The 22,880-nt window shown below is 47.2% G+C and overlaps 1 long non-coding RNA gene and 1 pseudogene across 1 annotated transcript; one reads left to right on the forward strand and one right to left on the reverse strand.

Annotated features, from left to right (window-relative positions):
* The first annotated feature begins 10,090 nt into the window (after positions 1-10,090).
* Positions 10,091-21,324, forward strand: LINC01531 (long intergenic non-protein coding RNA 1531). The gene is made up of 5 exons (NR_040046.1): positions 10,091-10,165; positions 11,069-13,635; positions 13,770-13,956; positions 15,646-15,766; positions 20,963-21,324. It is a non-coding gene; the product is annotated as a long intergenic non-protein coding RNA 1531 (long non-coding RNA).
* On the reverse strand, positions 19,365-19,633 carry RN7SL491P (RNA, 7SL, cytoplasmic 491, pseudogene; annotated as a pseudogene).
* Positions 21,325-22,880: the final 1,556 nt, after the last annotated feature.

A 22,880-nucleotide genomic window follows, 5' to 3' on the forward strand; every position in this document is an offset into this window, starting at 1 on the left:
TGTATGCATTTTTAAACCAAATATTTGTATACGCACATATATGGACATAAACAAAATAGAGGTTTCCTCTGGGAATGGAGAAGTGTCAGGGAGAAGTGAAACGGCATTTCACATTTTACTTTTGTACCGTTGGGTTTTTTTAAAGGCTATATTCACACATTATAATGCAACTTTTTAAAATTAGAGAAATAATAATGGGAAACCATTCAGCACCTTGATTCTGACCAAGTGAGAGCAGATAAGGCAGCACAGGGATTCAAGCTGCCTGGAGACCTCCAGGGTCACTGTGAGGGTGGCTGGAATCATGGGAATAAATAAATGATTTAACATGCTCAGGCTTCTAAGTGCCCATCCCCGGGGCTGCGGAGGAGCGAGGTGCTTAAACCGTTCCCAAGCCTCAGGCATTGAAAGCAGGAGTGTTTTCTCTAAGAAGGAGGGTGCTGTGCTGTAATTGACCTCTTTGGCATTCAGCGTCTGCACGACATCCAGTGCAGCTCTGGGCCGGCGGAAGAGACCAGGCTGCTTGTGCTGGGAGGGGCCGCTGCCCAAGGACAAGTCCTGTACTCACAGCAACGCTGAATCGCAGTCCTGGGCCATCTGGCCCCGGCCTCATAATCACTCTTCTGTCATGAATACTGAATGAAGGTAAACATACAGTCACAGGGCTGTCTTGGCAGCACCCAACTTTAAACCTGTGGCCTATTTCTAGCTCTCCACTGTGCTGAATTCTGTCAAAAACAAACAAATAACATGCTAAAACTATTTTGTGAACATTACTTATTTCACATTAAGAATGTTGCTCTGTTATTGTTTTTTTTTTTTTTTGAGATGGAGTCCCGCTCTGTCGCCCAGGCTGAAGTGCAGTGGCGCGATCACTGCAACCTCTGCCTCCCGGGTTGAAGCAATTCTCCTGCATCAGCCTCCCGAGTAGCTAAGATTACAGGTGTGAGCCACCACGCCCGGCTAATTGTTGTATTTTTGGTAGAGACAGGGTTTTGCCATCTTGGCTAGGCTGGTCTCGAACTGCTGACCTCAGGTGACCCGCCCACCTCGGCCTCCCAGAGTGCTGGGATTATAGGCGTGAACCACTGCAACCAGCCAACAGCATGGTTTTGGTCACCTCAAATGAGGACACGAATATATAAATCTCACGGTTTTGGTATTGCATCATATTTTTCATACACTGGGAAACAAAAAATGGAAGAGGTGTAGGCTGTCCTGACCTCTGAAAGGCCCTGAGGGGACAGTGGCCATCTTTTGGTTTCCTGGCTTCTGAACCCCTTCTGTGTTTAGGGAACTGGCCAAGTATGAGCCTTGTGAGGAGGCAGAGCCCATCTCCCACTAGAGAAGCTACTGATGCAGGGACCTTGTTTTCCAAGCATCCCTGATGCCTGCGTTTAGCCAATCAGGTGCACCTGCCCCAAATTCTGAATCTGAGGCTAATGGCACAAAGGAGGAAAAGCAGAAAATTATTTCTGGCAGTGGCAGTAGTGGTGGCAGACAGAATGTGGCTCTAGGTCCTAGTGTGCGGTGGCGGGGGGACTCCCACGTCCTTCCTGGACTGAGTTAATGGCATGACTTTTAATGTGGCCCTGGCTGTGCAGCTTCCTTGATTCTAGAAGCCTGGTTTTCCAGCCTTCCTGGCACATCTCTGAGCTACCCAATATCTTATCATTAAATCCCTAAATGAGCCAGAGTTGGTCTCTGTTGCTGCAATTAACAGCGATTGCTGAGACACGAGTCCAGCACAATGATGATGAGCAAGGAAGCCTGCGTTCTGTTGAGAGATGTGCAAACCATTAGTAATCAGAAAAATGAGACTACACTAAAACGGCATGGAGACGCTACTTGATATCCATGTGACTGGCAAAATCTCAGGTGCTGGATAATGCCAAGAGTGGGCAGGGGTGTGGCTCAGAGATCCAGTTGCCTTGCAGCTGGTGGCTATACCCTTTTCCCTTTTAAAAAATTTGTTTTCTCGGCTGGGCGTGGTGGCTCGCGCTTGTAATCCCAGCACTTTGGTAGACCGCGGCAGGTGGATCACTTGAGGTCAGGAGTTCGAGACCAGCCTGGCCAACATAGTGAAACCCTGTCTCTTCTAAAAATACAAAAATTAGCCAGGCATGGTGGCAGCCACCTGTAGGCTCAGCTACTCGGGAGGCTGAGGCAGGAAAATCGCTTAAACCCAGGAGGTGGAGGTTGCAATGAGCCGAGATTGCACCACTGCACTCCAGCCTGGTGAGAGTGACTCTATCAAAGAAAAAAAAAAGGTTTGCTTTTTTACATTTTTTTCTCTTTTTTTAATTTTTAATTTTTATTTTTTGAGACAGTCAGTAGCCTGGGCTGGAGTGCAGTTGTGCAATTGTAGCTCACTGCAGCCTCTACCTCCGGGCTCAAGTGATCCTCCTGCCTCCTCCTCCCAAGTAACTGGGACTACAGGCACATGCCATCACGCCCAGCTTTTTAATTTTTATTTTGTAGAGACAGGGTTCTTGCTGTGTTGCCCAGGCTGGTCTCAAACTCATGGGCTCAAATCATTCTCCCACTTCAGCTTCCCAAAGTGCCAGGATTATAGGTGTGAGCCACAGCACCTGGTCCCTTTTTCTTTTTTATGTCTATTTGGGTCCCATACACTCAACAGCTCAACAGAAGAAAGGGCTGTGGCTGGACAGAGTGGGCCATGCCGCTTGCCTCTTACAGGAACTATCGCCTTAATCACTTTCTTCTTGCTTTTAATTTATTTTTTGAGTAACATTAAACATTCACACACATACTCACATACTTAGAAAATTTCTTCAACAGCAGAAAAGGATATACGGGGAAAGGTGAGTTTCCCTCCCGCGCCAACGCCCAGAGCCCCTTCCCAGAGACAGCCGCGGAGAATAGGTTCATGGGTGACCCTTCCCCAAGTCTTTTCCTCACTCAGCATCCAGATGGGTCCTTCGGAAATGTGACACAGATTACGGCACAACCTCTGCCCTCCAGGGGCTTCCCATCATTCTCCGGATATCATTCTACATCCTACTGTGGCGACAAAGCCCTACGTGAGCTGGACCCAGTCGCCTGCCCCTGCCTCATTCCCACGGCTCTCCCCCACCCTGTCCCCTTGCAGCCTCTCTGGCCTCCCCGGCCTCCTCTGACACCCCATGGCTCATCTCATGACTTGCTGTACCTCTGCCTAGAATGTCCCTAGAGCCTCCGACTCTCCTGCTGGAGTTCTCTCCTTAAATACCACCTCCTCCGAGGGCCTTCCTGGGCTGCCTGCGCCGCCTTCCTTCCTCTGTTCTCCCAATCTGAGGCTTCCTACCCGACTCCAGCCCACAGCCCCAGGCTTTGTGGTAATGTAACTGTTGTAAACTTAAAATTCTGGCCGGGCGTGGTGGCTCATGCCTGTAATCCCAGCACTTTGGGAGTTCGAGGCGGGCAGATCACTTGAGGCCAGGAGTTCAAGACCAGCCTGGCCAACATGGCCAAACCCCGTCTCTACTAAAAATACAAAAATTAGCTGGGCGTGGTGGAGTGCGCCTGTAGTCCCAGTTACTCTGGAGGCTGACGTGGGAGGATGGCTTGAACTCGGGAGGCAGAGGGTGCAGTGAGCTGAGATCACACCACTGCACTCCAGCCTGGGTGACATAGCAAGACTCTGTCTCCCAAAAAAAAAAAAAAAATCCTAAGCCCCCCCAGTGACTGAACAGACTCCCTCTTGGCCAAGGGGACCCCAGAAAAACCTTAAAACTTGAGTTCCTGGCCATGATAGGATGGGAGGTCAGACATGCCTCATTATACGTCTTTACCTTTTACAGTTCAGACACTGACCAGCATTCATGTTAAAATAGAGATCATAAGACTGACAGAACGGACCCTTTATGGAAGTAAGATACCAAATTATAAATAGAACTAAGGTCATGCCAGGCAAGTGGTAAGTCACGCACCTCTACACTTAAAGAATAACTTATGCTCTAACTGCCACGAGGCTTTTCTTTTTCTCTAGCAGATAAACAAGCACTGGCCTCAGGATAAGCAGTGTTGAAACATTTGGAAGCTCCTGCAGATGCTGAATAACTGACCTCCAGCCTCTGTTCCACCAGCCACAACTACAGCTTTGATTGGAGAAGAGACTGATTTCAGCCACTTTCTCCTGGTAAGAAGAACAGGGACTGGTCCTGGCTGGTTTACAGAGGTTGCTCACAGGTTGCCTTCCTGTCTTGAAAATACCTTTTGATATTTAGGGCCTAATTGTAATAACATTTAAATGCTAAGTCTCCACTCCAAGGTGAACATAGGTTGGTTTTTTGTTTATTTGTTTGTTTGTTTTTTGAGACAGAGTCTCATTTTGTCGCCCAGGCTGGAGTGCAGTGGCGTTATCTCTGCTCATTGCGTCCTCTGCCTCCCAAGTTCAAGTGATTCTCATGCCTCAGCCTCCCAAGCAGCTGGGACTACAGGCGCGCCCCTCCGCCTGGCTAAATTTTAGTAGAGACGGGTTTAGCCATGTTGGCCAGGCTGGTCCTAAACTCCTGGCCTCAAGTGATTTGCCCGCCTTGGCTTCCCAAAGTGCTGGGATTACAGGCGTGAGCTACTACACCTGGCCAACATAGGTTGTATGTTACATGCATATTTGTTCAATATGCATGTGTCATGACTACCTCATGAATATTCATAGCTTCTCCTGTAATCTGTTGAATATGTATGTTTAGCCAACCCATTCAGTATAAAACTCCTACCCCAAACCCTCTTCCTTCGAAGTACCTGTCTCTGGTCTTGGCCGAAGGCACACTTCCCAGCCTGTGGGACAGCCACCTTGCAGGCTGTAACCCTTTATAAGAAATAAAGTTTTCGTCAGGCATGGTGCTGTGTACCTGTAGTCTCAGCTACTCAGGAGGCTGAGGTGGGAGGACCACCTGAGCCTAGGAGGTTGTGGCTGCAGTGAGCTATGATTATGCCACTGTACTCCAGCCTGGGCAACACAGTGAGATCCTGTGAAACAAAGGAAAGAAAAAAGAAGGAAGGAGGGAAGGAAGGAAGGAAGAGAAAGAGAGAGAGAAAAGAAAAGAAAGAGAGAGACAGAAAGAAGAAGGAAAAGAAAGAGAGAAAGGAAGGAAGGAAGAAAGAAAGAGAGAGAGAAAGAAAAAGAAAGAAAGAGAAAGAAAGGGAGAGAAAGGAAAGAAGGAAGGGAAGGAGGGAGGGAGGAAGGGAGGGAGGGACGGGAAAGAAAAGAGAGGAAGGAAGGAAGAAAGGAAGGAAGAAGGGGAGGGAGAGAGAAAGAAAGAAGGGGAGAACAGAAGAGAAAGAAAGAAAGAGAAAAAGAAAATCAGAGTCTCCTCCCCTTTTCTACATGTATAAATTCTGTGAGTTTTAAGTAATCACTATTCATCAATCTCTGGCCCATCTTGCTGCAATGGTCAGCTCCATGGAGCCAGGCCTTGTCTACCGCTGAATCCCCAGCACCGGCGAGTGCTGTGATGGGGGCTACTCAGGAAGTCCTCGCTGAATGGGTGTGGAGACGCATGGCCATCCTCATGCCTTGCTTTTTTCCGCTGAACAGTACATGTCAGGGCCTGATCTACATTGGCATACGTGGACCTGCCTCGTTCTTTGTAACAGGTGTGTGGGATTCCTACCATGTGGATGCTCCATGATCTTTATTTAACCAGAGCCTTTACTGATAGACAGGTTGCTCCCAATTTTTTATTATCACAAAACAAACAACAAACAAAAAAAAACCAGAAAAGTATATCCATACAGTAAATCTGTAGATATCAGCTTCTTGGATCAAATAATATGGAATGTTTCATTTTGGTTTTTTTGTTTTCTTTTGTTTTGTTTTGTTTCCTTTTTTTTCTCTATTTTTTTGACACGGAGTCTCTCTCTGTCACTCAGGCTGGAATGCAGTGGTGGAATCTCAGCTCACTTCAACTTCCTCCTCCCAGGTTCCAGCGATTCTCCTGCCTCAGCCTCCTGAGTAGCTGGGATTTCAGGTTTGCCCCACCACGTCTGGCTAATTTTTGTATTTTTAGTAGAGATGAGGTTTTGCCATGTTGGCCAGACTGGTCTTGAACTCCTGACCTCGAGTGATCTGCCCACCTCAGCCTCCCTAAGTTCTGGAATTACAGGCGTGAGCCACCATCCCCGGCCGGGGTGTTTCATTTTGAAAGATGTCATCAAATCGCAGTCCCCAGAGAAATCCCCAGAGAATCGCAGTCCCCAGAGTCACAGGGAGATGGGAGAAAAGAGAAGCAGATGAGGCCAGAGAGTGCTGCAGACAGAAGGCCCGTGGAGCAGAACTTGCAAGTTCTGGGAGGACTCTAGCTTTGATCAGAGAGGTGGGGAGCCTCTGTGGGGTTCTGAGTAGGGAAGAGACGTAGCCTACTTATGTTTTTATTTATTTATCTATTTTGAGACAGGGTCTCACTCTGTCACCCAGGCAGGAGTACAGTGGTGTAATCACGACTCACTGCAGCCTCAATCTCCTGGGCTCAAGTGATCCTCCCACCTTAGCCTCTTCAGTAGCTGGGACTACAGGCATGTGCCACCACACCTGGTTAATTTTTTTATTTTTTGTTGAGACAGGGTTTCACTATGTTGCCCAGGCTGGTCTTGAACTCCTGGGCTCAAGTGATCCTCCCGCCTTGGCCTCCCAAAGTTTTGGGATTACAGGTGTGAGCCACTGCACCCAGCCCTGCTTATGTTTTTATAAGACCATTCTGGCTGCTGCGTGGTGTGAAGTAGGGAACCAGAGAGCAGATGCTGCAGAGACACAGCTGAGAAAGTGCTGAGAGCCTGGACCAGGGCTGTGCTAAAAAGTGGCTGGATTGGGGAGCTATTCTGAAGACAGGGTGGAAAGGATTTGCTGATGGGGTAAAGAGAAGAATCAGAGATTTCTCAGGGCCTGAGCAACTGGAAGGATGGGGTGGCAGAGTCTGTGTAATTGGGGCCCTATTCCCAAGATGTTGGCACCATGGGCCTGTAGGGGCAGCAGCTGGTGGAGGGGAGGCATCTGGGAAACTTCCCTTTCCCACCAGATAGGGTTTCCTGATGTTAGCCTGTCAGGGTGGTTTCAAAACAGGTACAGCTGGGCTGCAGCAGGTTGAACTGTAAGGAAGGGCCAGCCTACAGGCAAATGAGGGCAGTGGCTAACTCAAATCCTGTCCCCCGGCTAGGCCCACACTCTTCCTTTCCCTCCATTTCCCCTGTTGGTGCATGCTGGTGACCAGGTGCCCAGGTGCCCATACAGCTGGAGACATCTGCATTCCCTTGCTTTTTTTTTTTTTCCTTTTTCTTTTTTCTTTTTGAGACTGAGTCGCTCACTCTGTCGCCCAGGCTGGAGTGCAGTGGTGCAATCTCAGCTCACTGCAACCTCCGCCTCCTGGGTTCGAGCAATTCTTCTGCCTCAGCCTGCTGGGTAGATGGGATTACAGGTGCCAGCCATCACACCTGGCTAATCTTTATATTTTTAGCAGACATGGGGTTTCAGCGTGTTGGCAAGGCTGGTCTGGAACTCCTGACCTCAAGTGACCTGCCGCCTCAGCCTCCCAAAGTGCTGGGATTACAGCACTTTGGCATGAGCCACTGGGCCCAGCTTTTTTTTTTTTTTTTTAAAGAAATGGAGTCTGGCTCTGTCGCCCAGGCTGGAGTGCAATGGCGTGATTGCAGCTCACTACAGCCTGGAACTCCTGGGCTTAAGCAGTCCTCCCACTTCAGCTTCCTGAGTAGTTGCAAATACAAGCATGCACCAGCACACTCAGCTAATTTTTTAATTTTTTTAGCGATGGGCTACCGCTATGTTGCCCAGGCTGGTCTCAAACAACTGAATTCAAGCAATCCTTCTGCTTTAGCCTCCCAAAGTGCTGGGATTTCCAGCATGAGCCACCACATCTGGCCCCCTTTCATCTTAAAATGCTTCCCATTCTGTTTTGGGTGCCCCATATCTGACCTTTACCCTATCTGTCATTGCGGGATGCTGACAAGGACAGTGTGGCTCAATGTGGGTTTCTGTTGTCAAGATACCACAAGGGCATGGAACCAGAAGGGGGCTGTCAGTTTCTGACTGGCTGCAGCAGCTTATCAGAACGTATCACAGATCAGGAGAGGACGATATGATCAACGGATGAGGTAACCATCAGCTGAGGGCAAACAGCTCCTAACTAAAGTCAGCACTTTACAGCTGGCTCCAGTGCACTCTCCCTGTGGCTGCAGGCAGAGCAGCCAGGGCCCCTCCTCCAGCCTCCTCCCACCTCAGAGCTTCAGAGCTTCAGACATCCTTGGTGCTGAGGCCTAGGTTCCATGAGGTCAAAGGGAGAATTCAGGCCGGGCACAGTGGCTCACGCCTGTAATTCCAACACTTTGGGAGGCCAAGGTGGGTTGATCACCTGAGCTCAGGAGTTCGAGACCAGCCTGACCAATATGGTGAAACCTCATCTCTACTAAAAATACAAAAATTAGCCAGGTGTGGTGGTGAGTGCCTGTAATCCCAGCTACTCAGGAGGCTGAGTCAGGAGAATGGCGTGAACCCAGGAGAATGGAGGTTGCAGTGAGCCGAGATCGCCTCTGCACTCCAGCCTGGGCAACAGAGTGAGACTCTGTCTCAAAAAAAAAAAAAAAAGGAGAATTCAGACTAAGCTGTTTTGCAGCATCCCAAGGCTGTGTTGACCTCACGTACAGCTGCATCATGGGAGTGGGCGGTGCGACATCTCAAGTCCAACTCAACCGAGCCATGGTTCAGGCTAAGTTCCCGCTGGTGCCCCTACCTGGAACGCTCTTCAGATAGTGGCTCCTTCTCACCCATTCAAATGTCCCAGGCCTTTCCTGACAGGCCCTGCCCATCTCTCTCTCTCTCTCTCTCAATTTCCCTGCTTGCTTTTTGTTGTTGTTGTTGTTGTTGTTTGATTTTTGGTCCTTTTTTTTTTTTTTTTTTGAGGCAGAGTCTTCCTCTGTCGCCCAGGCTGGAGTGCAGTGGCATGATCTCGGCTGACTGCAATCTCTGCCTCCCAGGTTAAGGTGATTCTCCTGCCCCAGTCTCCTGAGTAGCTGGGATTACCAGTGCCCGCCACCATACCTGGCTAATTTTTGTATTTTTAGTAGAGACAGAGTTTCACCATGTTGGCCAGGCTGGTCTCAAACTCCTGACCTCAAGTGATGTGCCCGCCTCAGCTTCCCAAAGTGCTGGGGTTACAGGCATGAACCCCACCACGCCTAGCCGATTTATTTTCTTTCCCTTTTTTTTCCCCCAGACAGGACCACTGGATTGGAGTGGTGCCATCATAGTTCATTTTAATTTCCAACTCCTAGGCTCAAGTGATCCTCCCGCCTCAGCCTCCTGAGTATCTAGGACTACAGGTGTGCACCACCATGCCTGGCTAATTTTTTATTTTTATCCTTTTTTGTAGAGACAGGGGATCTCACTATGTTGCCCAGGCTGGTCTCAAACACCCAGCCTTAAGCAATCCTCCTCCTGCCTCAGCCTCCTAAGTAGCTGGGATTATAGGTGTGAGCCACCATGCCTGACTTTTTATCTCACTTTTTGTAGAGACGGGGTATCGCTATGTTGACCAGGCTGGTTTTGAACTCCTGGCCTCAAGCAGTCCTCCTGCCTGGGCCTCCCAAAGCGTTGAGATCACAGACGTGAGCCACCTTGCCTGGCCTACTTCCTTTCTTCCTGTAAAATTGCCTTGTTGGTTTGTCTACTTGTTTTCTGTTCATCCTGTTCACTCTTGTCTCCAGCTCCTAGAACAGTACCTCACACAGAGTAACGGCTCCATGTGTTTTGTGACAGGGAAGCAGACAGTGTGGCTTGTTGGAGAGGAGCCACATACCCCCGCCCCCCGATTCATACATGGTGTGACTCAGCCCGAACCATTGCTCAGTTGAGTTGGATTTGAGATGATGCACTGCCCACTCCCGTGATACAGCTGTGTGTGAGGTCAGCACAGTCTTGGGGTGCTGCCAGACAACTTAGTTTGAATTCTCCCTTTGACTCATTGGAACCTAGACCTCAGCACCAAAGATGTCCCCATACCAGTAACCCGGGCAACAGAATGCAGATAAAGGACAGGAGACAAAAGGCGCAGGTTCTGACACATTCTTTGCTTGTGTCATCAGCTAGCAAGTATTCACAGGCACATCCAACCTCCATCCTTACATTCCACAAGGATTTGAGTGTCTGTTATAGGCAAGGGACAATGCTAGGTTTTTTTTTCTAAAAACAAACTTGGGGCTGGGCATGGTGGCTCACACTTGTAATCCTAGCACTTTGGGAGGCCAAAGCGGGTGGACTGCCTGAGCTCAAGAGTTCGACAACTCTTGGTAACATGGTGAAACCCCGTCTCTGCCAAAAATACAAAAAATTAGCCAGATGCAGTGGCGTGCACCTGTGGCCCAGCTTCTCGGGAGGCTGAGGTGTGAGGATCACTTGAGCCCGAAAGGTGAAGGCTGCAGTGGGCCGCGATTGCACCACTGAACTCTAGCCTGGGCAACAGAGTGGGACCCTGTCTCAAAACAACAACAACAAAATAAGAAAGAAAGAAAGAAAAAGCGGAAGTGAGAGATGGATGTGCGTGTAGTCGTGTGGGATAATTGCCCATGGGAAGGAAACAGAATTCAACCTCTTGGAATGTAGGGGGAGGAGGAAGCCTGAAAAAACTGTTCAAATTTGGATTCTGGGCTGAGCACAGTGGCTCACGCCTGTAATCCCAGCACTTTGGGAGGCAAGGCAGGCGGATCACTTGAGGTTCGGAGTTCGAGACTAGCCTGGCCAACATGGTGAAACCCTGTCTACAAAAAATACAAAAATTAGTCGGGCGTGGTGTTGCACACCTGTAATCCCACTACTTGGAAGGCTGGGGTAGGAGAATCACTTGAACTAGGGAGGCAGAGGTTGCAGTGAGCTGAGATCGCACCACTAAACTCCAGCCTGGGTGATAGAGCAAGACTCTGCCTCAAAAAAAAAAAAATTGGACTCTGGGTGAAATAAGTCTGTTGGGGACAAAATCTGGTGGGAGACCCAGAAGGTCAAGCTGCTTTAGAAAGAGCTCAACCACTGACTTTCCTCTTTTTGACCACATGACTCTTCCAGGTATAAAAGCCTGCCGTTGGTGGAAAAGGAAAAGGTGGTCCAGTTAGACAAGATGCCACCGGCTTCTGAAACCAGACATCTTTGAAAACCCACCCATCTACCTGCAGGAAAAGGCAAGGGACCTGACCTCGCCTGGGCTCAGGGAAGAGGTTGCTGGGATCATAACCCCAGGAAGAGACGGGATGGAAGGAGAGCATGCAGGGAGCAGAGGACAGGCTACTCTCCAAGGAGGAGAGGGAAGAGGCCACAGAAATGGAAAAGGGGCCAGGACAAGTCAGTGGAGAGATGGTCAGGGCCTGGCGAGGAGGAGCAGGACAAAAGCGGTGGAGCTCAGCCCCGTGGCGGCAGGGCCACTCCCATTCATCTGGTCCTCTACTTCTGAAGTTCTCGAATGCAGAATGAGATGTACAGATGGGCCAGCAGGTGATATGCTATCTGTCATAGGTTAAGGCCTCATTATTTTATTCATTTTTAAACTTTTTTTTTTTTGAGACAGGGTCTTGTTCTGTCGCCCAGGCTGGTTTGCAGTGGTGCCACCATGGTTCACTGTAACCTTGAAGCCCCTGGGCTCAAGTGATCCTCCTGCCTCAGCCTCCAGAGTAACGAGGACTACAGGTGCACACCGCCATGCCCAGCTAATTTCTTAACGTTTTGTAGAGAAAGGCTCTCACTGTGTTGCCCAGGCTGGTCTTGAACTCCTTGACTCAAGCAATCCTCCTGTCTTGGCTTCCCAAAGTGTTGGGATTACAGGTGTGAGCCACTGCTCCCAGCCACAAGTTTTATTTTAAATGTTTACCTTTCAATGATCACTTCGAGGAGATTTAAGCTTACTCTTTCTTTTTTTTTTTTCTTGAGATGGAGTCTTGCTGTGTCGTCCAGGCTGGAGTGCAGTGGTGCTATCTTGGCTCACTGCAACCTCTGCTTCCCAGGTTCAAGTGATTCTCCTACCTCAGCCTCCCGAGTAGCTGAGACTACAGGCATGTGCCACCACTCCCTACTAATTTTTGTATTTTTAGTAGAGTCGGGGTTTCACCATGTTAGCCAGGTTGGTCTCGAACTCCTGACCTAAAGTGATCTGCCTGCCTCAGCCTCCCAAAGTGCTGGGAGGCATGAGCCACCATGCCTGGCTCATTGTCTAGTTTTTACCAAGAAGATGATGAGATATGCCAGAGGGCTCCGTATCTGCTATGAGAACGTCCCCCAAGAGCAGCTGGCCGTGGTGCTGCAGCTGGAGCTGTGCTTGGAGCTCTTCTTCACCCCCATGGCGGTCACCACCTTCTGCCACTGGCACTTTGTGCAGATCATGCTCTCTGGCCCCAAGTGGGGACCTGGAGGTGCTGAAGAGCCAAGAGACTGGCTGCCGTGACCCTCTTCAACTTCCTGGTCTGCTTGGACCCTGTGCTTTGTCTCCCATGGTGGGTTCCCCCAGTGGAAGAGTCAAATTGGTGGGCAGGCGCAGTGTTGTTCAGTGCTCTCGATGCTGCATTGACCCCTTGATTTTCTTTGTTTTTGTTTTTATTTTGTTTTGTTTTGTTTTTGAGATGGAGTCTTGCTCTGTCACCCAGGCTGGAGTGCAGTGGTGTGATGATCTTGGCTCACTGCAACCTCCGCCTCCTGGGTTCTCCTGCCTCAGCCTCCCGGGTAGCTGGGATTACAGGCACCCACCACCACACCCGGCTAATTTTTGTATTTTTAGTAGAGACGAGGTTTCAACCCCTACTCAGGCTGGTGTCAAACTCCTGACCGCAAGTGATCTGCCCACCTTGGCCTCCCAAAGTGTTGCAATTACAGGCGTGAGCCACCATGCCCAGCCTAACCCCTTGATTTTCTGTTTCTCTTCCTCCACCGTGCGCAAAGCCTTTGACAGAGGGCCACGGAGGTGGCAGCACGGCGGGGGTCTCACTGTCTGGGTGGTGGTGAAAGCTCTGGAGAGCCAGCTGCAGAGAGAAGATGTGGATCTTAGGGACGGCCAATGTCACCTTCACAGGAGATTAGAGGCGCCAGCTTGGGGTAACCTTTTGGGGAAGGAGGGCTCAAAAAGAGGAACAATGAAACAGAACTAAGGTGAGTTCTCCTGTGCCCAGTTTCAGAGGTCAAGGAGAGTAGTAGATAGCTCAAACCCAACTCAGCCATTGAGTGAGTGTTTTCATTTTGTTCCTTGGGGTCTATGATATTTTCTATTTTCTTTTCTTTCCTTTTGTTTTGGTTTGTTTGTTTGTTTGGTTGGTTGGTTGGTTGGTTGGTTTTAGAGACAGGGTTTCCCTCTGTCACCCAGGCTGGAATGCAGTAGTGTGATCACATCACACTGCAGCTTCTAACTCATGGGTTCAAGCCATCCTCCTGCCTCAGCCTCCTGAGTAGCTGGGACTCCAGGTGCACGCCACCATGGCCGGCTAATTGTTTATTTTTTATAGAGACAGGGTTTCACTATGTTGGCCAGGATGTTCAACAACTTCTGCCTTCAAGCGATCTTCCCTCCTGGGCCTCCCCAAGTGCTGAGTTTACAAGCATCAGCCACCACACCCAGCCTATGACATTTTCTTCATTATGGCTGGTACTGCCTCATGGTAAGCCACAAGCCTTTTTATCTTGTAATATCAGAGTCTTGGAATTCTTTATCTTCCCTACTCTATATCTAGAAGACAGTAGCACTGACTTATCTGCTGCAGAGCTCTTAATTCTATCCTTGGCCCCGATTCAGAAAAGGGGGTTCCTCATGCTGGATCTGAACAACCCAGCACAGGCAAGTCTGGGGAGCAAGGCAGGAGCCTGCATGTGGACTCAAAGGACCGGCACCCGAAACAAAGCAGTGGCTGGCACAGGTGGACAAACCAGGCAAGAAAAGCAACTGTCCTTCGGAGCAGAGTCCACGTGATGGGAAGAAACAGGTCATGATACTTTTGAGTGGTTACATCCTACTGTGTTTGTGCCTTCTTTTTTCCTTTCTCAGTCTTGCCAAGAGACCCATTAATTTGTCTTTTCAGAAAACCAAGATCCTCTCCAGCATTTATCTTTGTTTTCTTGTTGCATTGATTTCTAATCTTATCTTTATTGTTTCCTTCCTTTTACTTTATTGAGTCTTCTCTGTTGCTCCTTTTCTAACATGTTAACTTGGATGCTCGTTCATTTTAGCCTTTCTTCTTTGCTAATGTAAGCATTTAGTGTGTTGGATAGATTTCCCTCTAAGAACAGCTTTAGTGGGATGTCACAAGTTTTGATTTGCAGCATTCTCATTATTTTGAGTTCTAAATAGGCTCCAAATTCCATGGGATTTTTTTATTTGACTCTTGACTTTGGAAATGTACCTTAATTTTCAAACACAGATGTTTCCCCCCTTTATCCTTTTGTTATTCATTTCTAACTACAGAGTATTGTTTCAATGGTATCAGTTCTTTGAAATTTGCTGAGAATTGTTTTTTGGCTTAGAATATAAACAGTATTCTAGTATTCCAGTAATGAAAAGAAGATAGATTCTGTAATTGTTGGGTGCTATGTTCTCTGTATATACCTTAGATCAAACTTGTTAATTTATGATGTTCAAATCTTCATAACCTTTATATACATTTTCATCTATTTAATCTATCAGTTATATGAAGAGGTGTGTTACATGCTCCTTCTATCATGGTAAATTTGCCTATTTCTCCTTGTAGTTCTGTCTCCCTGGTGAATTGAAACTTTCAAAATTCTTTCTGCCTTAACATTGATTTTGTCTGATATTAACAGAGCCACATCAACTTGGTTTTTGCTTATTATTTGCCAGTCCATCTCTGTCCATCCTTCTACATTCAACCTTGCTATATCTTTATGTTTTAAATGTGCTTTTCCTAAGCAGTGTATAGAGTGGTTGGATTTTTTTGTAATCTGGTCTGACAACTGGACAATATTTGTCTTTTAACTGTACCATTTTGTCCATTTATAGTTATAAAATAATAATTTCCAATATATTTGAATTTATCTCTGTCATCTTATTTTAAATACTTTTAGTGAAGTATGTGCACATATATTGAAATATACATGCATACCGTGTGTATTAGTCCATTCTCACGCTGCTAGTAAAGACATACCCGAGACTGGGTAATTTACAAAGAAGAGAGGTTTAATTGACTCACAGTTCCACGGGGCTGGGCAAGCCTCAGAAAACATAGAATCATGGTGGAAGGGAAAGCAAACAGGTCCTTCTTCACATGGCAGCAGCAAGAAGTGCAGAGCAAAATGGGAGAAGCCATCTGATAAAACCATTAGATCTCGTGAGAACTCACTCACTATCAGGAGAACAGCATGAGGGTAACCCACCCCATGATTCAATTACCTCCCACCTGGTTCCTCCCATGACACTTGGGATTATGGGAACTGCAATTCAAGATGAGATTTAGGTGGGGACACAGCCAAACCATATCACCATGCATGGCCAAATAATAAGTGTACAGGCCAAATAAACTATCACAAATATCACAGAGTGAACACACCTATTTAAGAAAAAGCAAAAAGTCTACCATATTATTTTGTGCTTTTTATTTCCCTCATCTTTTATTTTATTTTATTTTATTTTATTTTATTCTATTTTATTTTATTTTCAGACACAGTCTCACTCTGTTGCCCAGGCTGAAGTCAACGGCATGATCTCAGCTCACTGCAACCTCCACCTCCTGGGTTCAAGCAATTCTCGTGCCTCAGCCTCCCAAGTAGCTTGGATTACAGGTGTGTGCCACTATGCCTGGCTAATTTTGGCATTTTTATTAAAGACGGGGTTTCACCATGTTGACCAAGCTGGTCTTGAACTGCTGACCTTAGGTGATCCAACCACCTCGGCCTCCCAAAGTGCTGGTATTACAGGTGTGAGCCACCTTGCCAAGCCATCCCTCACCTTTTAATATTTCTTTTTTTCTTCTCTCTAGCCTTCTTTTGAGATTCAGTTCGTTTATTTCTTTTCTTTCTCATTTCATTTATTCCTCCACTGACTTGGAAACTGTATGTTCTGTTTCCATTATTTAGTGGTTATTTTAAACACTGTAAGATGGTAGGAGTTCCTCAATGAGTTACTCCCTCCCTCCCTTCCTTCTTCCCTTTAATACCACACATCAAGGAAAACCCAACCCAAGTAGCTTCGAACTATGTGAATCTAGGGCAGCAGTTTTCAAAGCACTGTCTGTGAGGTCAAAACTATTCATAATGCTATTAAAATGCTGATTGCTCTCTTCACCTTCATTATCTCACAAATAATGTGCACAGTGGAGGTTTTGAGAGCTACGTGACGTGATATCATGACGGAATGAATGCAGACCAGATAGGAAAATACAGCTGTCTTCTATTAAGCCAGGCATTAAAGAGATCTGCAAAAATGTAAAACAATGCCACTGTCACGAATTTTTTGAAGATATAGTTGTTTTTTCTAGGAACGTGTCATTTATATTAACATGTAATGGTTTTATGGTTATTATTATTATAAGATAAGTTAATACACATTTTTAAATTTTTCTGTTTTAACTTTGTTTTTTTTTTGTTTTTTTTTTTTGTTTTTTTTGATACGCAGTTTCACTCTTGTTGCCAAGGCTGGAGTACAGTGGTGTGATCTCGGCTCACCGCAACCTCTGCCTCCTGGCTTCAAGCGATTCTCCTGCCTCAGCCTCCCAAGTAGCTGAGATTACAGGCACAAGCCACCATGCCCGGCTAATTTTTGTATTTTTAGTAGAGACAGGGTTTCACCATGTTGGTCAGGCTGGTCTCGCACTCCTGACCTCATGATCTGCCCACCTCAGTCTCCCAAGGTCCTAGGATTATAGATATGAGCCACCACGCCTGGCAGGAATTTTCATTTTTGCTTTTCTTTCCTTTTTTTTCTTTTTTCTTTTTTTTTTCGAGACAGTGTCTCACTCTGCCACCCAGGGTGAGTGCAGTGGCATGAACACAACTCACTGCAGCCTCGTCTTCCCAGGCTCAAGCAACCCTCCCACCTCAGCCTCCCAAGTAGCTGGAACTACAGGTGCACGCCACCATGCTCAGCTAATTCTTGTATTTTTTGTGGAGATGGGGTTTTGCCATGTTGCCCGGGTTGGTCTCAAACTCCTAAGCTTAAAGCAATCCACCTGCCTCAGCCTCCCAAAGTGTTGGGATTAGAGGGGTGAGCCACCACACCCATCCCTTCAGTAATTTTCAAGAGTATAAACCGACCTTGAGATCCACAAGTTTGAGAATTGCTGACCTGGTGAGATGACAGACAGGATTACTCTGCTAAGTGCAATTGTGCACATATAAAACCTTCTGCTACCTGATGTGTCTTTAATGATTCGAAATTTCATAAAGTCTAATGCCACTTAACCTCTCAAAGTGAGTTTAAAGTTTGCCTGATAAAATGCAAAGCTTGTTGAGATATTAAATATGATACTTAACAATCAGAACTATTCCATGAGGAGATAAAGAAGTAACAAAGCCGGCTCAGATGGATGGGATGTAATTGCGCCGCACAGACCTGTATTCACCATGTTATGTTAGTTCCTGTTCTAAAGATGCTTTTTTTTTTTTTTTTTTTTTTTTTTTGAGACAGAGTCTCGCTCTGTAACCCAGACTGCTGCAGTGCAGTGGCATGAGCTTGGCTCACTGCAACCTCCGCCTCCCAGGCTCAAGCAATTCTTATGCCTCAGCTTCCCGAGTTGCTGGGATTACAGGCATGCGCCACCACACCTGGCAAATGTTTGTATTTTTAGTAGAGATGGGGTTTCACCATGTTGGCCAGGCTGGTCTTGAACTCCTGGCCTCAAGTGATTCATCAACCTCAGCCTCTCAAAGTGCTAGAATTACAGGTTTGAGCCACCGCGCCTGGCCTAAGGATTGTTTAAATTGGAGTTTTTCTTCTTGTTTTATGGGGAAGGATTACTTCATCTACAATTAGGTGGAATATTAACCCAAACTATATGTAGGATTTCCAATCTTAGAGGCTATAGGAACTGGGGGAGAAGGAAAGCATAATACTAATTATATTTGTCCTATGTCATCCTAGGGAAAGTGCATATTTAATTCCTGTCAGCAAAGATTAAAGAAAGATTTTCAGGGCAAAAGTTATAAACAGGCTTAGTGTGTTTTATTTTGAACGGGGGAATTCACAAAGCCTTTGTGAAAGCCTCAATTTTACTGTTAGACTACTTGATAGCACCTAGTTAATATAAGCTAGGGCGATTCAACTAGTTCCATTGCACCTCCCGGTAAATAAATGGTTCCTGAGGCATTGTGTTAAGCGAGGAATGGAAGTTTGAAGGTTACCGGCAAGGCTCCTTCAGCCCTCTCCGGTTTTCAGGTTAATGGTGGGGAGAGTGAGTGTCCACCAGAAAGGGACTGTGATGTGACGTTAGGTCACTTGATTTCTGTAAACTTATGGGAGACCTTTCTCCTAAAGATGGGCTCAAGATGCCACCATTTACAATGTTACTCTCAATGACCTTGGGGAAGTCCTGCTCCTAGGGGTGGGACACAGTGATAAGAGGGAGGGGTGTGCCGGGCATGGTGGCTCATGCCTGTAATTCCAGCACTTTGGGAGGCTGAGGCAGGCAGATCACCTGAGGCCAGGAGTTCAAGACCAGCCTGGCCAACATGGCAAAACCCCATCTCTACTAACAATATAAAAATTAGCTGGGCGTGGTGGTGTGCAGCTGTAATCCCAGCTACTTGAGAGGCTGAGACAGGAGAATCACTTGAATCCAAGAGGCAGAGGCTGTAGTGAGCCAAAATCATGCCATTGCACTCCAACCTGGGCAACAAGAGCAGACACTCCGTCTAAAGCAAACAACAACCAAAAAAAAAAAAAAAAAACACAAGAGGAAGGGGTGGAAGAGTGTACTGATTGTTGGACCCTGAGGATTGCAATTTTATCATAACATTCTCTACAGTCTCTTTTCAAAAATGAACCAGCAATCAGAGATGGCACCGATTGGTTTGGCCTTCTTAGCAACATCTCTCCCTTGTCCTCTGCCATGTGGTTTGGTGGAGCTGACTTTACCCCCAGCTCCTGCTCCAGGGGCAGGTGTGAAACCAGGACCCTGCTCATCTACAGTTCATCCTCTGACCACAGTGATGGTTCACACTTGGGTGCATGACTCAATCCAGACCAATGAAAGATGAACCCAGGCTGGGCATGGTGGCTCACATCTGTAATCCCAGCACATGGGAAGGCTGAGGCAGGCGAATCAGTTGAGGTCAGGAGTTTGAGACCAGCCAGGCTAACTTGGCGAAACCCTGTCTCTACTAAAAATACAAAAATGAGCTGGGCGTGGTGGTGCACACCTGTAATCCCAGCTACTTGGGAGGCTGAGGCGGAAGAATCACTTGAACACGGGATGTGGAGGTTGCAGTGAGCCAAGACCATGCCACTGCACACTCCAGCCTGGGTGACAGAGTGCACCCACTGTGGATCCAGCCTTTTTTTTTTTTTTTTTTTTTGAGACAGAGTCTCACCAGGCTTGAGTGCAGTGGCGTTAATCTTGGCTCACTGCAACCTCTGCCTCCCAGGTTCAAGCAATTCTCCTGCCTCAGCCTCCTGAGTAGCTAGGACTAGAGGCGCGCACCACCCCGCCCAGCTAATTTTTGTATTTTTAGTAGAGACGGGGATTCACCATGTTGGCCAGGATGGTCTCGATCTCTTGACCTCATGATCCACCCACCTTGGCCTCCCAAAGTGCTGGGATTATAGGCATGAACCACCGCACCTGGCCAGCCCTTCTCTTTTAACCACCAGGAGAAAGAACCTCTCTTCTACTGATCTTGAACTTGAAGGCTGGTCCCTCTCTTCTGGGGGCCATTGTGAAGAGAGGCTGCCTAAGCCTGAAGTCAACTTAAAGGAAGGTGAAACAGAGAAAAACCACACATTCAGGCATTTGATGTCCTAAAGCAGATCTACTCTGGGGATTTTTAGATTTGAAAACCAAATATTCTCCTTCCTTAGCTTAAAGCAAGTTTGAAGCTGAGATGGACATAATGTAATTGCTCTGCACAAGCCTGTATATTCATTGCTTTATGCTCATCCTTGTTCTAAAGATTAGCCTTTTGCCCATTTTCTAATTGAATTGCTTGATTGTGTTTTGTTTTACTATTGAGTTTTGTGAGACATTTATTTAGAGTGTCTCGCTCTGTTGTCCAGGCTGGGGTGCAGTGGCATGATCTCAGCTCACTGCAACCTCCGCCTCCCGGGTTCAAGTGATCCTCCCTCTTCAACCTCCTGAGTAGCTGGGATTACGAGTGTACACCATCACACCTGGCTAATTTTTGTATTTTTAGTAGAAATGGGGTTTCACCATGTTGGCCAGGCTGGTCTCAAACTCCTGACCTCCTCAAGTTGATCAGCCCACCCCGGCCTCCCGAAGTGTTGGGATTACAGGCGTGAGCCACTGCACCAGCCAACACTGAGTCGTATTTCTTTAGATTTTTGTGATTGATGTTCCCATTATGCTTCTCTCTCACTGAATCTCCTACCTTCTTCATCAGAGGCAGCGTCATACTGGACTTTAAGTGCATCCTTCCTGTCCATGATTTTAAATTGTACCTTGCAAATATACTTTGCACCTAAACACTGTTTAGTATTCTTTTGCGTTTTTTCAAATATCCATAAATACCTATAGTACAAGTCATTCTGCAACTAGCTACTTTCTACCCCAAATCATCCCTTTGCTATCTGGCCTCCATCACTAAACCTTACATATCTCATTGATTTATTTTGTCTGCTCTAGCAGTCCATCATATTAATAAGACGAGTTTTATTTTTTCCATTCTACTATTGATAGACATTTAAATCACTTCCCATTCTTTGCCAGCATGACAATGCTGCTTTGAACATCCCTGTGTGTGTCTCTTCGCGCACACGTGGAAGAGTTCTTCCACTGGTAGGCACAGCATTTGCATTCTCCATTTCAGTAAAAGCTGCCAAGGTCCTCTTCAACGTGATGGCGTAAATCCAGCTCTTTCTGCAAGAAGGCTCACCAGCCTTCCCACCAGCTCTTCTCCCCACCCCAGCCCTGCAGCCCTGCAGCCTGACCCTAGGTAATGAGTGGTGGGGAGTGACCCAGGCATGCACGACCTGCCCAGAGGAAAGGGAGTTCAAAGAAGGACCCGAGACCCTCACAGGAACCTAGCAGATTGGCACAAGTGCCAGATGTATCCAGGACAGACACTTTCCCCAGGACTCCAGGGGTAAAGGAGTGCCCCACCTCTCCACTCCTTGCCTTTCTTAACTGAATTCAGATTGTCGTGAACATTCAAGAAAAGCATTGTGGCTGACTTCCAAGGTTACTACTTGAGTCCATCACTACAGCAGTTACTACTCTTACTGCTCCAGACCGTCATTACAGCAGTTACTACTGTTACCACTTGAGACCATCCTTACAAGACTGAAGGAAGGGAGGAACGTAGAAATGAAAACCAAGGAAAAAAAGAAACTGCTTTAAGTAAAGGCTAGCATGGGGAAGAAGAGAGCTCCCCGCTTCTAGTGAGCAAAGGCAGCCCCCTTATTTATTGGGTAACAAGAGCACGAGGAGGTGGCAACAATTGGTCAGCTGCTTAATTGATCAGAGGTTCATGTTGTTACTGACAGGCTTCTATTATGCCTAATCATAAGAAACATTTGTTCAGCTTCCAACAAAGCTGAAGTTTAAATGATGCAATTACATTCAGCACAGAGGAGTATCTCCCCCAATCCCACCATATAAAGAGAAAGCACATGCATGCAGGAGAGAAACAGTGAATGGAAGGCTAGGAAATCTTGGTCTTGGAGGAGAGTGCAGATTGGAGATAGAGGGAAGGGGAAAATAAGATGCTGGGATCTTGAGGGAGGATGTGGGGTGGTGGCCAAGCTCCCTGGTTCATGGGGATGAGAATGAAGCCTCTGTTGGCTCTGGGTCATGTGACATGGGCCAAGATAAGACATGGTTCCTGCAGAGAGATGGAGCGTGGTCTGTCTGTCTTGTGCTCATGTGTCTGTGTCAAATGGCTTCCGAGGGAACTAGAGCCACTTAGGTCTATGTGGTTTAAGGAAAGCACAAGTGAAAAGAAGCCAGGAATAGTGCAGAGGTAGGGGATGGGACACCAAGACATGAGGCCAGAGTGTGAGACAGAATCAGAGCTCCTGCCTGCAGAGAATGATGGGCTGTGTGAGGAGCCCTGGCCCTCTGCGGACATTTTAATAAGTGGCCCCACTTTCTTAGGTGCTCATGTGTCCGGGGATTCTAGGGAGGTTTTGTGAGGCTGAGCTAAAAAAAATAACCAATTCCAGCTAGGCACAGGGGCTCACGCCTGTAATCCCAGCCCTTTGGGAGGCTGGGGTGTGAGGATTGCTTAAGGCCAGGAGGTCAAGGCTACAGTGAGCCATGATTGTGCCGCTGCACTCCAGCCTGAGCAAGAGGGTGAGACCCTGTCTCAAGAAACAAGCAAACAAAAATAACCTATTCCACTTTGACCCTGAATAGGGAAAACTGACCAAACAAGGAGAGTAGCCAGAGGCAGGGATGGAAGCATAGGAGAAACTGGCAGTGGACAAGCTCCTTTGGAATAATCCACCAAGAGAGGAAATGAAACAGAATGCCTGAATGAATTATGAAAGCAGAACAAAGTCTGAAAGAATAATCAGGGCTTGAGATCTAGAAAGGATCAATGAGATTTGTGGGAACAGACTTTCAGGGGAAACACAGAGGGCTAAGCGGCCTGAGAAACAGCTCAACTCTTGACCTTCCTCTTCCTGACACATAGCAAGCTCAAGTGTAAAAGTTCTTGGTTCCTGGGGGATCCCGAAATGGCAGAGGTGGCTGTATCTATGCACCTTATTCAACAAGTTGGTAAA

Source organism: Homo sapiens, chromosome 19 (assembly GCF_000001405.40).
Source record: "Homo sapiens chromosome 19, GRCh38.p14 Primary Assembly".
Classification (NCBI taxonomy): Eukaryota; Metazoa; Chordata; class Mammalia; order Primates; family Hominidae; genus Homo; species Homo sapiens.